This window comes from Homo sapiens, chromosome 3 (genome assembly GCF_000001405.40).
Source record: "Homo sapiens chromosome 3, GRCh38.p14 Primary Assembly".
NCBI classification, from domain to species: domain Eukaryota; kingdom Metazoa; phylum Chordata; class Mammalia; order Primates; family Hominidae; genus Homo; species Homo sapiens.
The window spans coordinates 181,931,686-181,947,403 of record NC_000003.12 but is presented as its reverse complement, the minus strand read 5'-3'; positions in this window follow the sequence as shown (position 1 = coordinate 181,947,403).

The window sequence follows — 15,718 nt, the reverse complement described above, 5'->3', positions numbered from 1 at the left end:
ATGTCACTCCAGTGCTCAAAAATGTTTCAAGGATTCCCCACTGCCTACTGGCATGGTCAGCCTCCATATCAAAGACGCTCCATGACCTGTCCCAGTGTTCCTCTCTACCCTTCCCACGATGCCCCTTAACATCCATGAGTGCCTTGCCCTTCATCCCCTCCAATCACTGGGCTACACATATTTATTGGCTCCATGGCTTTGGGCAGCTTACTTAATATATATTTAAGTCCCATTTCCTCATCTATACAAAAAGAATAGCATTATCTCATCCCAATTTATTAAGGATTAAATAAAATGTTTCCTGTAGAGCACTTAGCAGGGTGCTAGCCCATAATATTAATAAAGCAATCAGTAATGTTAATTTATTGCTATTGTTTTGGCTGCTATCTTACTTTTTGCTTTCCCTTTTCCATATCCATATTTTTCCCTTTCTAAGTTGCTTTTCTTTTTCTTTTTTCTTTTTCTTTTTTTTTTTTTTGAGATGGAGTCTCACTCTGTTGCCCAGGCTGGGGTGCAGTGGCACCATCTCGGCTCACTGCAACCTCTGCCTCCCAGCCTCAAGTGATTTTCCTGCCTCAGCCTCCTGAGTAGCTGGGATTACAGGTGCGTGCAACCATGCCTGGCTAATTTTTGTATTTTTACAGGGTTTCACCATGTTGGCCAGGTTGTTCTCGAATTCCTGATCTCAAGTGATCCACCCGCCTTGGGCTCCCAAAGTGCTAGGATTACAGGGTGTGAGCCACCAAGCCTGGTCCTGAGTTGCTTTTCATGTTCCTCCTCTTCTTCCTCCTCATAACCTAAACCGAAACTATTCAAATCCCAGCTTCTTCCTGAAAGCCCTATAGGGCAATCCTAGCCCACAGCAAATACTCTGTCCTCTGAACTCTTTCTGTAGAAATTCAATTTTGCACTGATAGTTGCCAGATAACCTATGGTTAAATGTTCATTCTCTGGTGTAAAGCTACCTGAATTCAAGTCTCTGCTCTACTCTTCACTAGCTACAGGTAAGTGTCTCTGCCCAGAGTTGGTGTCCCATCATATTATGCTGTCCTGCAGAGAGACCATCAGACTCAAGCCTGCTAGCCCCATATGCTGTGCATTGCAGCTGCACTGTCAAGAGTAGAGCCCTAGGCTGGGCGCGGTGGCTCACGCCTGTAATCCCAGCACTTTGGGAGGCCGAGGCGGGCAGATCACGAGGTCAAGAGATTGAGACCATGCTGGCTAACACGGTGAAACCCAGTCTCTACTAAAAATACAAAACATTAGCCGAGCTGTGGTGGCGGGCGCCTGTAGTCCCAGCTACTCAGGAGGCTGAGCCAGGAGAATGGCGTGAACCCAGGAGGCGCAGCTGGCGGTGAGCCGAGACTGTGCCACTGCACTCCAGTCTGGGTGACAGAGCAAGACTCTGTCTCAAAAAAAAAAAAAAAGAGTCCAGCCCTCTAAACCTGATGTGGGTTAACACGCATTCCAGGGGTTGGGTTGCCTAGGCATATCAGGGATAGTTAGATAGTCAGTGGCTGGGAATCTCCGGCAAAAACAGTTATCCTGTCTTTTATTTGAACAAGTCTCACTCTGTCACCCAGGCTGGAGTGCAGTGGCACGATCTCAGCTCACTCCAACCTCCACCTCCTGGGTTCAAGCGATTCTCCTGCCTCAGCCTCCCAAGTAGCTGGGATTACAGGCATGCATCACCACATCCGGCTAATTTTTGTATTTTTAGTAGAGACAGGGTTTCATCATGTTGGCCAGGCCAGTCTTGAACTTCTGACCTCAGGTGATCCTCCTGCCTTGGCCTCCCAAAGCAGTCATTGGTCCTTTTGAATCACATAATCAAAAGCCAATCTCAAACGTTCAGTGGCAATGTAGCACAAGGTTCTAAACTGAAAATTTTTGTATTATAATAAAGTAGCTTCAGTCAGCTTTACAACAAAGACCCACTGTCTTTTATTAATTTAGAGGATAGTCTTATGATCAAAGAAAGCAAGATTTGTTTAAAAGTAATTTTTGTCTGAAAAGGCATAGGCCCCAAATGGGAATCTATCATGTTCCCTACTAAGATATATATGTTTATGTCTTGCCTAAAGCCCCATGCACATAGTGGGTATGCAAAATATGCTAGTAATTAATTTATCAATGAAAAAATGAGGTTTTTTTGGAAAAGGACAGCAAAGTTGACATCTTCGATCCAATAATTCTACTTGTTGGAAATTTCTGCTAAAAATAGATTCTCATCTGTGTGGGAGTGATATGGTTTGGATATTTGTCCCCTCCAAATCTCATGTTGAAACATAATTCCACTTTGGGAGGCCAAGGCGGGTGGATCACGAGGTCAGGAGATCGAGACCTTCCTGGCTAACATGGTGAAACCCCGTCTCTACTAAAAATACAAGAAATTAGCTGGGCATGGTGGCGGGTGCCTGTAGTCCCAGCTACTCGGGAGGCTGAGGCAGGAGAATGGCGTGAACCCAGGAAGCGGAGCTTTCAGTGAGTCCAGATAGCGCCACTGCACTCCAGCCTGGGCGACAGAACGAGACCCCGTCTCAAAAAAGAAAAAAAAAAGAAACATAATCCCCAGCATTGGAGGTGGGGTTTGATGGGAAATGTTTCGGTCTTGGGGGCGGATACGTCATGAATGGCTTAGCACTATGCCCTTGGTGATAAGTGAGTTGACAAGAAGTCTGGTTGTTTTAAAAGTATGTGGCACCTACCCTCCCTCTGTCTCTCTCTTGCTACCACTCTCACCATGTGACTTGCCTGCTCCTACTTCGCCTTCTGCCATGAGTAAATGCTCCCTAAGGCCTCCCCAGAAGCCAAGCAGATGCCAGCACCATGCTTCCTGTATAGCCTGCAGAACCATGAGCCTATTAAGCCTCTTTTCTTTATAAATTACCCAGACTCTGGTATTCCTTTATAGCAACTCAAGAACAGCCTAACACGGGGCAGGGGATTTCAAAATTTAATAGAAATAAAAGATACAACCTTAAAGCCCATCAATAGAAGAATGAGTAAGTGAAAGATGCTAATTCCACCTAAGGAATACCATGCAGCCATTTTAAAAATACAGAGAATCAAATATCTGCTGACTGAAAAATGTCCAAGACATATTAAGCAAAAAAAAGAAAAATTGCAAAAAAGCAGGCATATTATGTTTCTTGTTGTGTTCATATTTAAAGCCTCCAAAGTAGGTATATTTGTATGTAAATGTGACACAAGGAGATTCAAAAAATACAGAGCAAACTTCTGACACTAGCCAGTTATCTCTGAAAATGGGAGAGAGTGTGCATGATTGTGTCTGTGTACATAGGGCTGGGGGGGGTAGGATGGTGATGGAAGTATTGTTAAATCTTTTACAATAATACTCTATTTGTATATTACTTATATAACAAAAGACAAAAAGATTGTCAAGGGAAAATAAACAATTTAAATTTTGTTAGAAGGAATTGTTTCAGAAATGATAAACCAAAAATATATTTGCTAAATTGTGATCACCAGGTTAAAGAAATTGATTATTTCAAATCTCATATTTGCTGTGTGTGTGTGTGTGTGTGTGTGTGTGTGTGTGTGTAGTTTAAAGGCTGCTTTCCCTCGGTCATTATGTTTTACACTGCCACTTCATTCTTCCTTATCTCAGAATAAATTCCTTTGCTAATGTGTTTTTAAAAATCAGAAAGCTTCCTCACTTAAAAGTCACCAATCAACTGGATCTGTTTTGTTAAGAAGCGTGCTGAGCAAAATGTGATTTGGATGGAATGGCAGGCCCAGGAAATGAAAAATTAGCATCACATGGCAATTCAGAACGTGACAATAGTCACTTAACAACAGATTTCCCTTTATCTTTCCAAAGGAGAGCAGTTTTTTTGGATAGAAGTTGCCTAATTGTTTCAGGGCACCCAGGTGAAGCCAGGATGAAGTCACCAGCTTCCCTCCTCATTGTTCGCTTGAAGCTTTCCTGCCCTCACCTCAGTGGTTCTACCTGCAACAGCTTAAAGGGGTATCCCTCGGGGCTGTTTTTTGAAGTCTGCATGCTACATCATGCTCTAAGACCCTAAGGAGGCTTTGTGGTATCATAACTTTCAGACAGACAAGTCGCTAAAGTAAACAGCAGGGGAGAGGCACGACAGGCCACACACCTACCAGATACCTACATTCAACCATTAGCACATGTCAAAATGGTTTAAGATTAATTAAAACAAATAGTCCCATGCTGGAAGAAGCCACACTCCCCGTCCCTACAGAGTTTCATTCTCTTTTTCTACTTCCTGTAAAACAAGAGTAATCAGATAGCAACAGTCTCAGAAATCTCAGAAATAATAGGGCAATGGTAAATTTTCTAGGCTAGGAATGCTGCAACATCAAGGAAAAAATATACAGCCATAAAACATTTAGCTGGTTTACAGAATATTTAATGATGAAGGCTGGAAAATATGTTACTGATGGCAACTCCTAGAAGGATATTTGAGCAGTTTTCCATGGAGTCTACTTTTAGAAAGTGTTTTAATCCCTTGATAAGTTCTAACCATCGAAATATGTTTTTGAGTCCAAAATTCAGGAAGATGTTAGTTACCTATATGATGAAGGCATGTGGTCACGTCTCCAACAGAAGAGAATGTTGGTGATTATCTCGATAAATCAAGTTTTAAAATCTGACTAAAGCAATCTTATTGATTAACAGACTCCTACTCATTTTAGTCCTGTCTTTAAATCTCTGTGTTGGAGTAGATTTTTCGTTGAGAGTTTATTTGCTCAATTGTGTTTTGTCTGAAATAAACAAGAACACAGAGTAGATTGTAATTTGCTTTCCCTCTCTTTGGGATCTTTTCAGGGCAAAGATAAATCAGATTAGGGAGCTGTTTGGCATGTAGCTTCTTCTGCCCTCTCTTTTGCATCAAATAGAAGTCTCTATGCTGTTTCTTGACTAAATTTGGGCTGGTTTGCTCATTCATTCTTTGAGAAATACTAAGAGAACATTCTGGTCTTTTCCTGTAACAATTCTCACACTAAACCTCACTTGTAAATGTAAGGTCTGGAATGAAACTGTGAACATGAATATGAAAACACTGTACTATTAGATTTCCATTTTGGTCTGTTTCTGGCTTGATTTGATTAAAGTCCACTCAGACTATACATCTAGCATCTTGCTTTCTCATTCTTCCCACCACAGTTTAATCCTTAATTTCCTCTACTGCTGGAATGCTTCATGCTGAATGATTGGATTAACAGCGCGGCATTTCAGGATGTACCTAAATCAGCTCGGTGGTCCAAGACTCCTTTAATTGATAACTGGCTTTCCTGCATTTATCAATATTAAATGTTGCCTCCTCTTTACTTTCTTTACTTTTCTTTAGTTAATACAAACTGTTTTCAAAAAAAACAGATTTTTACAACAGAGGGTCTCTTTTCTAGGGAGGAGGACACTGAAAGAACAACACTTACACTCACCTTTTTTTTTTTTCACCTCAAAGCAAACATTGCATTTATTCTTTGTTTCCAGCTTTCATGAACTTTTTATCTTTTCTCTCTTTTAGATCTGTGTATGTTCACAACAGCTGTCTCTCCGGGAAGCCCATATCCCATTTCTTCAGCTCCCCAGAAGTAGACATACATATTATTTCCCTGAGGGTTAGAGAAAGCTATCAGAACTTGGCAACATATAAAGTAAATACCCACTAATTGCAATACATTCATTTAAATCAGGTCTTTATCCTCCTTAGGCATTGTAGTAGGTGGCTTCCTTTGAAGTCTTGTTGAATTTGTCCAAAATTACCTTGCCAGAGGCAGACGGCTGTTTGGAACATTTGTTCTGAACCGATCCCCAAAGCAGTAAATCTTAGCGTTGGTAACGGCTCTGCTCACATGCCACAAAAAGGAAATGTCCTGGGTAGGGCATGAATCCAGGCTTAGATCCCCCATTGTATGCAAAGAACAGAAAGAGAAAGAGAGAGATACCTGCACAGCTCCCAGGGATATAATGCTGTTGTACAACTCTGATGACGTTATAAACCACAAACCCTGTACATTAGTGAAATACAAACCAACAGACTGCCAGTGAATTAGTGATTTTTTTTCTTTTTTTCTGCTGGATCCATTCATGCATGCATGCTTGCATCTCTCATTTAATAGTGATTTTATTAGACAGTGTTATCATTTGTTTGCTTACTTTAAACACAAGTAGCTTATGCCCCTCAGCATTTTAAATTCATGATGAGAATATTATTTTACCTATATAAGGAATAATGCTGTATTGGCATTAGGGTGCCATACCTATTATAGATTCTTATCTTCCTCACAAATGCACTGATAGAAAATCTGATGCAAACAATCACACTCTGAGATCTTCAGACACATTCAAGGCTTTGTTTGGGGTGCATTTCATACTTTTACCATGTACATAGAATGGCTTTCAAGTCTTTTCAGTCTGCTACCAGGCTTTGCTTCTATTACAATAGAAGCTGCTCTGCAGCAGGTAAAGGAGCTTCCTGAACTTGGAGCAAATGATTCTGTAGCTAATTGTTATGGAGATAGGCTTAAGTCATCTTCTACTTGAGTAAGGAATCCGAATCACCGAAGACATATAGGAGGAAAATATGTGGGAGTCTGCAGTTGTCTTGCTTGTTGGTACGTGGTGTGCTGTTCATCCTCCACCTTCAAACAAAATCTAATGGTCCTAAGATAAAGCAAGAACCATAAAGACAAAATCAACCCAAATCTCCAGGACACAGTCTTTAGAGCTCAAACTAGATTATGCCCTCTTTTGTTGTGGTGACTATTTCTTCACCTCTGAACACAATGTCAAGTGTTATCTTTGATCTATAAAGTGCTAAGTGGTCTATAGTTTTGTAAAGAGCTTTTTGTTTACCCTGGCAATAATAATGAATTATTAGCATCTGTTTACGGACCTCAAAAGTAAAACTGCAAATTTACAGTATTGAAATGACGTATGAACATTTTTCAAGGAGACTTCAATTTGAGGGCAAAGCAGACACCATCATTGAAGTACATATTTTCTAGAGCTTTCGGTGTGTGACATAACGAAACTTGCAATAGGCTTCATGCCCTAATGAAGAGTTCACAATCAACTAAGGTATAGACTTGTGTAAAGTTAAACAGTAATATCAAATACACAAGATCACATAAAACTGAAATAAATCTAACTAACTTTTCATCAATGTGGAATTAGGTAAATTATGGAACACCGGTATAATGGGATACTTTATACTCATTAAAAAGAATTACATAGGCCAGGCATGGTGACTCACGCCTGTAATCCTAGCATTTTGGGAGGCTGAGGTGGGTGGATTGCCTGAGCTCAGGAGTTCGAAACCAGCCTGGGCAACATGGTGAAACCCCATCTCTACTAAAATACAATAAATTAACTGGGCATGGCAGCATGTGCCTGTAATCCCAGCTACTCAGGAGGCTGAGACAGGAGAATCGCTTGAACCTCGAAGGGGGAGGTTGCAGTGAGCCCAGATCGCACCACTGCACTCCAGCCTGGGCAACAGAGTGAGACTCCATCTTAAAAAAACAAAAAAAAAAAACAAAAAAACAAAAAAAAAACAACTATGTAGCTCTGGATATATTGGTATGTGAAAGGCCTCAAGATATATTTTTCAGATTAAAAAAGGTGTAAGATAGTAGCCATAGAATTAGCTTACTTGTGCAATTTTTGTTTGTCTTATGAAGTCTATTTCTTGGCTGGGCGCAGTGGCTCACGCCTGTAATCCCAGCACTTTGGGAGGCCAAGGTGGGTACATCACCTGAGGTCAGGAATTCAAGACCAGCCTGGCCAACATGGTGAAACCTCATCTCTACTAAAAATACAAAAAATTAGCTGGGTGTTGTGGCGGATGCCTGTAATCCCAACCACTCGGGAGGCTGAGGCGGGGAAAATGGCTTGAACCTGGGAGGTGGAGGTTGCAGTGAGCTGAGATCACACCATTGCACTCCAGCCTGGGCAACAAGAGTGAAATTCCATCTCAAAAAAAAAAAAATCTATTTCTATTTCATTTTTTAAAAAATAATTTCATATTTTATTTTATTTTATTTTATTTTATTTTTTTGAGACGGAGTCTCACTCTGTCGCCCAGGCTGGAGTGCAGTAGTGTGATCTCGGCTCACTGCAACCTCCATCTCCCGGCTTCAAGTGATTCTCCTGCCTCAGCCTCCTGAGTAGCTGGGATTACAGGTGCACATCACCATGCCCGGCTAATTTTTGTATTTTTAGTAGAGACGGGGTTTCATCATGTTGGTCAGGCTGGTCTTGAACTCCTGACCTCGTGATCTGCCCACCTCGTCCTCCCAGAGTAGTGGGATTACAGGCATGAGCCACCACACCTGGCCTCATCTTTTATTTTAGATTCAGAGGGTACATGTGCAGGTTTGTTACATGGGTTTATTGTGCGATGCCGAGGTTTTGGGTATAGATGAACCTGTCACTCAGGTAGTGAGCACAGTACCCAATAGGTAGTTTTTCTCCCCCCTCTAGTAGTCCCCAGTGTCTATTATTCCCATCTTTATGTCCATGTGTATCCAATGCTTAGCTCCCACTTAGGAGAACATGCGATATTTGACTTCCTGTTCCTGTGTTAATTTGTTTAGGAAAATGGCCTCCAGCTGCATCCATGTGGCTTCAAAGGAGATGATTTCATTCTTTGTCATGGCTGTGTAGTATCCTGTGGTGTATATATGCACCACATTTTCTTTTTTTTTTTTTTTGAGTTGGAGTTTCACTCTTGTTGCCAAGGCTGGAGTGCAATGGCACAATCTCGGCTCACTGCAACCTCCTCCTCCTGAGTTCAAGTGATTCTCCTGCTTCAGCCTCGCAAGTAGCTGGGATTACAGGTGCCCGCCACCACGCCCAGCTAATTTTTGTATTTTTAGTAGAGATGGGGTTTCTCCATGTTGACCAGGCTGGTCTCAAACTCCTGACCTCAGGTGATCCGCCCGCCTCGGCCTCCCAAAGTGCTGGGATTACAGGCGTGAGCCACATGTCTGGCCTGCACATTTTCTTGATTCAATCCACCGTTGATGGGCACCTAGGTTGATTCCATGTCTTTGCTATTGTGAATAATGCTGCAATGAACATACAAGGAAAGAACTGTTCTACAAAAACGACACTTGTGCACCTTTTTAAAAGAAATAGAGATCTATAAATATACGTGTGTATAGTCATGTGTCACTTAACAACAGGATGTAGCCTGTTACTATAATGAATACTATAGGCAATTGTAACACAGTGGTGAGTACTTGTGAATCTAAACCTATCTAAACCTAGAAAAGGTACAGTAAAAATACTGTATAAAACGTTTTAAAATGGTACACCTAAACAGGGCACTTAGCAGGAATGGAGGTCTTAGGACTCAAAGTTGCTCTTGGTGAGTCAATGAGTGAGTGGTAAGTGAATGTGAAGGCCAAGGACATTATTGTACACTACGGTAGACTCTCCAAACACTGTACACTTAGGCTATACTAAATTTATAAAAAATATTTTACTGGGTCACATGCAGTGGCTCAAGCCGTAATCCCAGCACTTTAGGAGGCCAAGGTGGGCAGATCACTTGAGCCCACGAGTTTGAGACCAGCCTGGCCAATGTGGTGAAACCTTGTCTCTATTAAAAATGCAAAAATTAGCCAGGTGTGGTGGTGCATGCCTGTCATCCCAGCTACTTGGGAGCCTGAGGCTCAAGAATCACTTGAACCTGGGAGGAGATCAAGGCTACAGTGAGCTGAAATCATGCCACTCGTGCCACTGCAACTCCAGGCTGGGTGACAGAGCAAGACTATGTCAAAAAAAAAAAAAAAATCTGTCTTCAATAATAAATTAATCTTAGCTTGCTGAAATTTTTACTTTTTAAACTTTTTAATTCTTTTAAACTCTTGGACTCTTGTAATAACACTTAGCTTAAACTGCAAACACACTGTACAGCTACACAAAAATATTTTCTTTATATCCTTATTCTACAAGCATTTTTTATTTATTTTTTTTTTTTTCACTTTTTAAACATTTTTTGTTAAAAACTGAGACGTAAACACACACATTAACCCCAGCCTACACAGGGTCAGGATCATCAATATCACTGTCTTCCTCCTCCACATCTTGTCCCACTGGAAGGTTTTCAAGGGCAGTAATAAGCGTTCAGCTGTCACCTCCCATGATAAGAATGTCTTCTTCTGAAGTACCTTGTGAAGGGCTTGCCTGAGGCTGTTTTACAGTTAACTTAAAAAATAAAATAAATGCACACTAACAATTAAAACTATTGTATAGAAAATACATATACCAGAACACAGTTGTTTTGATCATTATCAGGTGTTATGTACTATACATAATTGTATTGCTATACTCTTATATGAATGGCAGCGTAGTAGGTCTGTTCACACCAGCATCATCACAGACAGGTGAATAATGCGTCGTGCTATGGCATTAGGACAGCAATGACGTCACTAGGCAATAGAAAATTTTCAGCTCCATTATAATCTTAAAGGACTGCTTTCATATGTGCAGTTCACCGTTGACTGAAACGTCATGCAGTGCATGACTGTACTTAGATAAGGATACTATTTTTAAAAAGTGTTCTATATGAAATATGATAGTAGTTACTTTTTAAAGATAGATGGGATAATTATAAGAGATTAGGAATGTGTGAGTGAAGAAATAGTTTTTTTAAACACCTTTTGCCATATTTTGATTTTTTTCATAGATAGATATTATTATTATTATTATTATTATTATTGAGATGGAGTTTTGCTCTTGTTGCCCTGGCTGGAGTGCAATGGCATGATCTTGGCTCACTCGGCTTCCTGGGTTCAAGCGATTCTCCTGCCTCACCCTCCCTAGTAGCTGGGATTACAGGCATGCGCCACCATGCCTAGCTAATTTTGTATTTTTAGTAAAGACAGGGTTTCACCGTGTTGGTCAGGTTGGTCTCAAACTCCTGACCTCAGGTGATCTGCCCACCTCGACCTCCCAAAGTGCTGGGATTACAGGCGTGAGCCACTGCACCCGGCAATAGATACAATTTTTAAGAGATAAGCCAATTTTTAAAAGGCATACAACAGGTAAACTATTATTGAAAAAAAGGTGGTATATCACTCCTTATCAAATGAGTGTTACAGGCAGTAAGTATCATAGAACTTCAATGGAGAGACAGATTACTAGGTGAGCTACTAAATAATTACTATAATAATAATAATACCGCTTATGAAACCATAGCATGACCATATTAGATATATTTCTATTTATTGCTATTACCCTTATCGTATATACTCAAATTATTCCTATGTCTGCCAGCAGAGGCCTCTTCAAGTTGGCTCCTAAGTCCTGACAGAACCTCAGTAATCTCTGATAGCTGCCTTGTTTTCTAATATGACAAGATGTTCCAGGGTCATCTTGTACATTTCCTACTTTAGACCTGGAGTAGGACATTTCTCTCCAAAGAGCTCTGGTCTTCCATTTTACTGGGAAATTATATTTAGATACCATGGTATGAGCATGAGTGGTGCTTATTGCTACTGGGTTGATCATTTTTTTCTAGTGAACAGTGAACAGATAAAAGATATGTATATGTAACATATATGTGATACAGATATATAATGATAAAATACAAGTTTATGTTGATACTGTCAATACAGATTCAAGGTTTTTCTCAACTTCATTGATCTTGCATATTTGTCTTTTTTTAACTGAATATTCCAGTTGATACCAACATAATTATACAATAGTCTCAGAGTAGCAATACCAATACTACTACTGCTAATATAATTATTGAAAACAGTTATAATTATTGAAAATAATTCTCCTTAGAATATATGCCACTAAGAACACATAGACAAATAACTGTGTTGTAAAAGCCATTCGGAACGGTTTTCCTCTGTGAGATAATGCCATTCACTGGCTACACAGTGAGGTTCATTTGTTTCATTTTATTTTGCTTTTTAGGGATTGTATTTTAAAAATTAATTTTGTTTAGTAATTAAGTAGAATGTTAACTTGGTTCCAAAATCAAATCTATAAAGCAATATATATTTTAAAATTTCTGGCTATTGCCTCCCTTGCCTTAAATTTATCTTATGAATTGTATTTTTCTTGTTTTTATTTTTATTTTTAACCTCCCTCTCAGATGAGTTTTTGCTTGTTTTAATTTTAATATAATCAAACGGATATTATTAGGGTGATATGGTTTGGATTTGTGTCTCTGCCCAAATCTTATGTTGACTTGTAATCCCCAATTTTGGAAGAGGTGGAGGATGATTGGATCATGGGGGCAGATTTCCCCCTTGCTGTTCTCATGATATGAGTGAGTTCTCATGACATACGATTGTTTAAAAGTGTGTAGCACCTCCCCCTTCTCTCTCTTCATCCAGCTCTGGCCACATAAGACATGTCTACTTCCCCCTCCACCATTATTGTAAGTTTCCTGAGGCCTCCCCAGCCATACTTCCTGTACTGCCTACAGAATCATGAGCCAATTAAACCTCTTCTTTATAAATTACCCAGTCTGAAGTAGTTCTTTATAGCAGTGCGAGAAAGAACTAATATATAGGAAAATGGAAGCATTTAACTTAACAATATAACCTGGATATATTGATCATACCATAGTAGGAGGTAAAGATATCTTTCATTTATTTCCATAGCATCTTTCATAACTTTTTGTTTTCTCTTTAGTTAATGGTTCTCTCTTTTCATTTACCTTTTTGTTTCAGCTTGGTGTATTTTTATAGATATTTATCACCAATATATCTTCACACACTCTCCTATTGTCTCAATCTTTTCCAGTGTATTTAAGCACATCATGGATGCTATCAAGTTCATCTTAATTTCATTCTCTTAGAGCCTGCTGCCCGCTACAATCTGGATGGATAATTCCTGTGGCCTGCTGCACAGCTGTCATCCACCCTTTACAATCCCCCTTCACCATCATCCTTGGAACTTCCTCCTTTTCATTGAGTAAAATGTCCTGCTTACTGATTCCTTTGTCACTTTACTTCTTACTTTACTCTCTGATTCTGATAAAGCACAGCTAACTTCTTTAGCTTGATACTGTGATGAGGTTCATAACTCTTATTCACATTGCTTCATCTACCATCAACCAAAGATGGGGATATCACTGGAGCATCATTACCTGTCATTACTCATTGCGTCCCATGATGTCCTTTCATATGATTATTAAATCATGTAATGTATACAGTAGGTTTAAGAGCTTAATTAACCTTTGGCGATAACCAGATTCAATGAGGCCCTCAGTGTAGAGTATATATAAGAGGTAGATGCTTCTTAGCATATTAAAGGCTGATTCCCAGGACATTCGGGGATTAAATTTTAAGAACAAAGTTATTTTATCAGATAGAACAGATTCTGGGGTTTTTTCCTTTTTTTTTTTTTTTTGAGACAGAGTCTCACATTGTCACTCGGGCTGAAGTGCAATGGCACGATCTTGGCTCACTGCAACCTCCGCCTCCCGGGTTCAAGTGATTCTCCTGCCTCAGCCTGCTGAGTAGCCGGGATTACAGGGGCCCACCACCAGGCCTGCCTAATTTTTTTTTTGTATTTTGAGTAGAGTCGGGGTTTCACTATGTTGGCCGGGCTGGTCTTGAACTCCTGACCTCGTGATCTCCCCCCCCACCCACCCTTGGCCTAAAAAGTGGCGGGATTACAGGAGTGAGCCACCGCACCCAGACTTCCCCTCATTTTTAAAATCAGTAGGGAAGCATTAAAGGTCAATTCAGAGGTCATTAAAATTATATTTTTAAATAACAAGAAATATTAGTATCTAATTCTGTGGTTGTTTGCAAGATTATTTCTTTGAAATTTAAATGGAACTTCCTTTATACTTATTCACGCTCACACACACACAAACAAGTGCACACACAGGTGTGAGAAGCCCAATCACTCCAGGATTAGCTGTTCCTCAGAAAGCTCAGTAATGATCTGAAATCTGAAGCCCTACTTGAACTTTTCTACTAATTCAGTAATTACTGCTGTGCCTGAAATTGGCCCCTTTCCTGCAATTACTCAACATGCACTTTCAGTTAAAGAGGTTAACACCTGAATTTAGATTCTAATTAGCATGTAAGGTAGAATTTTTTGTTTAAAGCTTATTAAAATGGGGACTTTTCCCAGTGTAAGATTTCACTAGTCTATGCAGGCAAACACATGTTTTATAGATCAGCTTCTGATTATCTTAAAAGCAACAAAGGTCGGAGGGGAAACCAAGATCAACGTATCACCATTTAAGACACTAACCTCAGAATAAATCAAATTCAGTCAATAACTGAAGTTGTCAGGCTGGCCACTGTCAATACAAGGACCAGTGTTTCCAAATCCGCATTTAAATAAATGACTTCTCTCAAAAAAGATACCAATAACTCGAGATAAAAGCAAATTAATAGTGGTATCGGCTTTCAGAGCTATCTCCAGTTCCTTCCCCCAGTTTTCCTAATTACTAATATTTAAAAATCGCAATACCAAAAACTCAGAATTACATGGGGACAGAAGGTCTTCAATTTCTCAGGAAACAATTAATGTGAGTTTAACTTCAACCACAGGTGTGTCTTCAAGCTATCTATGTATCCTCTGCCACATCCCTAAGAAGCAGTCGCCCAATTATTTCTTGGGCACCTCCAGCAATGGGAAGCTTACTACCTCCTAAAGCAGCTCATTTTATTACCAGACACACCGGAAACAATGGCTCTATAATTGATGGATTATAAACACACTGAATTTAGGGGCATTCTCATCATTCAGTTGACTCACACTGTTTTCAGTACATACACTGTTTATTTCTTTCCCATCTTGCACTTATGCAATTGACTTTTTTGAATCTAAGTTCAAGAACTTAGATTTTTCTCTTTGGAATTTTCCTCTACTTCAGCTTAACTCCTATTCAGCCAATCAAGATGATTTGTGTTGACTGTGCTCTCTGGTTTCTTGTCATCTACAAATATAATAAGCATCCTATCCTTTGTTCCCGTTCAAGGATAAACTTAATATATAAGGTCTCCCAGCTTCTAACTTGACTCAGCCAACACTTCAATACAGAAATGAAACCCTTGTGACTTCCTCGTTGGCTATTCTGAGAATCATGTTATATTCACCGGCAAATCAAGAAGAAAAACTTGAAACAATACTTGTGTCTTCAAAAACAAGGGCAAAAAGATCAAGGAGTGGGAAGTGGTAAAACCACTTGTATTAGTTTGCTGGGAACTGCCATAACAAAGTACCACAGACTAGGTGGCTTAAACAACAGACATTTATTTTGTTACTATTCTGGGGGCTAGAAGAACGAGATCATGGTGTCGGTACTTGGTTTCTTCTGAAGCCTGTCTCTCCTTGGCTTGTAAATGACTGTGTTCTCCCCATGATCTTCCCCCTGTGCTTGTCTGTGTCTTAATCTCTTCTCTTCTTAAAAGGACACAAGTCATATTAAAGTAGAGCCCACCCTAATAAACTCATTTCAACTTAATTACCTCTTTAAAGGCCCTATCTCCAAACAAAGTCACATTCTGAGGTACTGGTGGCTAGGACTTTAACATGTGAATTTCGGGGGAATACAAATCAGTCAGAACATCACTTAGGAGACATTTTCTCTCTATGTTCTCAGCCATAGATTGCATATACTCCAAATATCAGTTTCTCTAAATGTTCATGTTTTATCTCACTAAATGTGTAATCTTATTTACTTAATGCACGTTTATTTTTACCTTTTTTTTTTTTTTTTTTTGA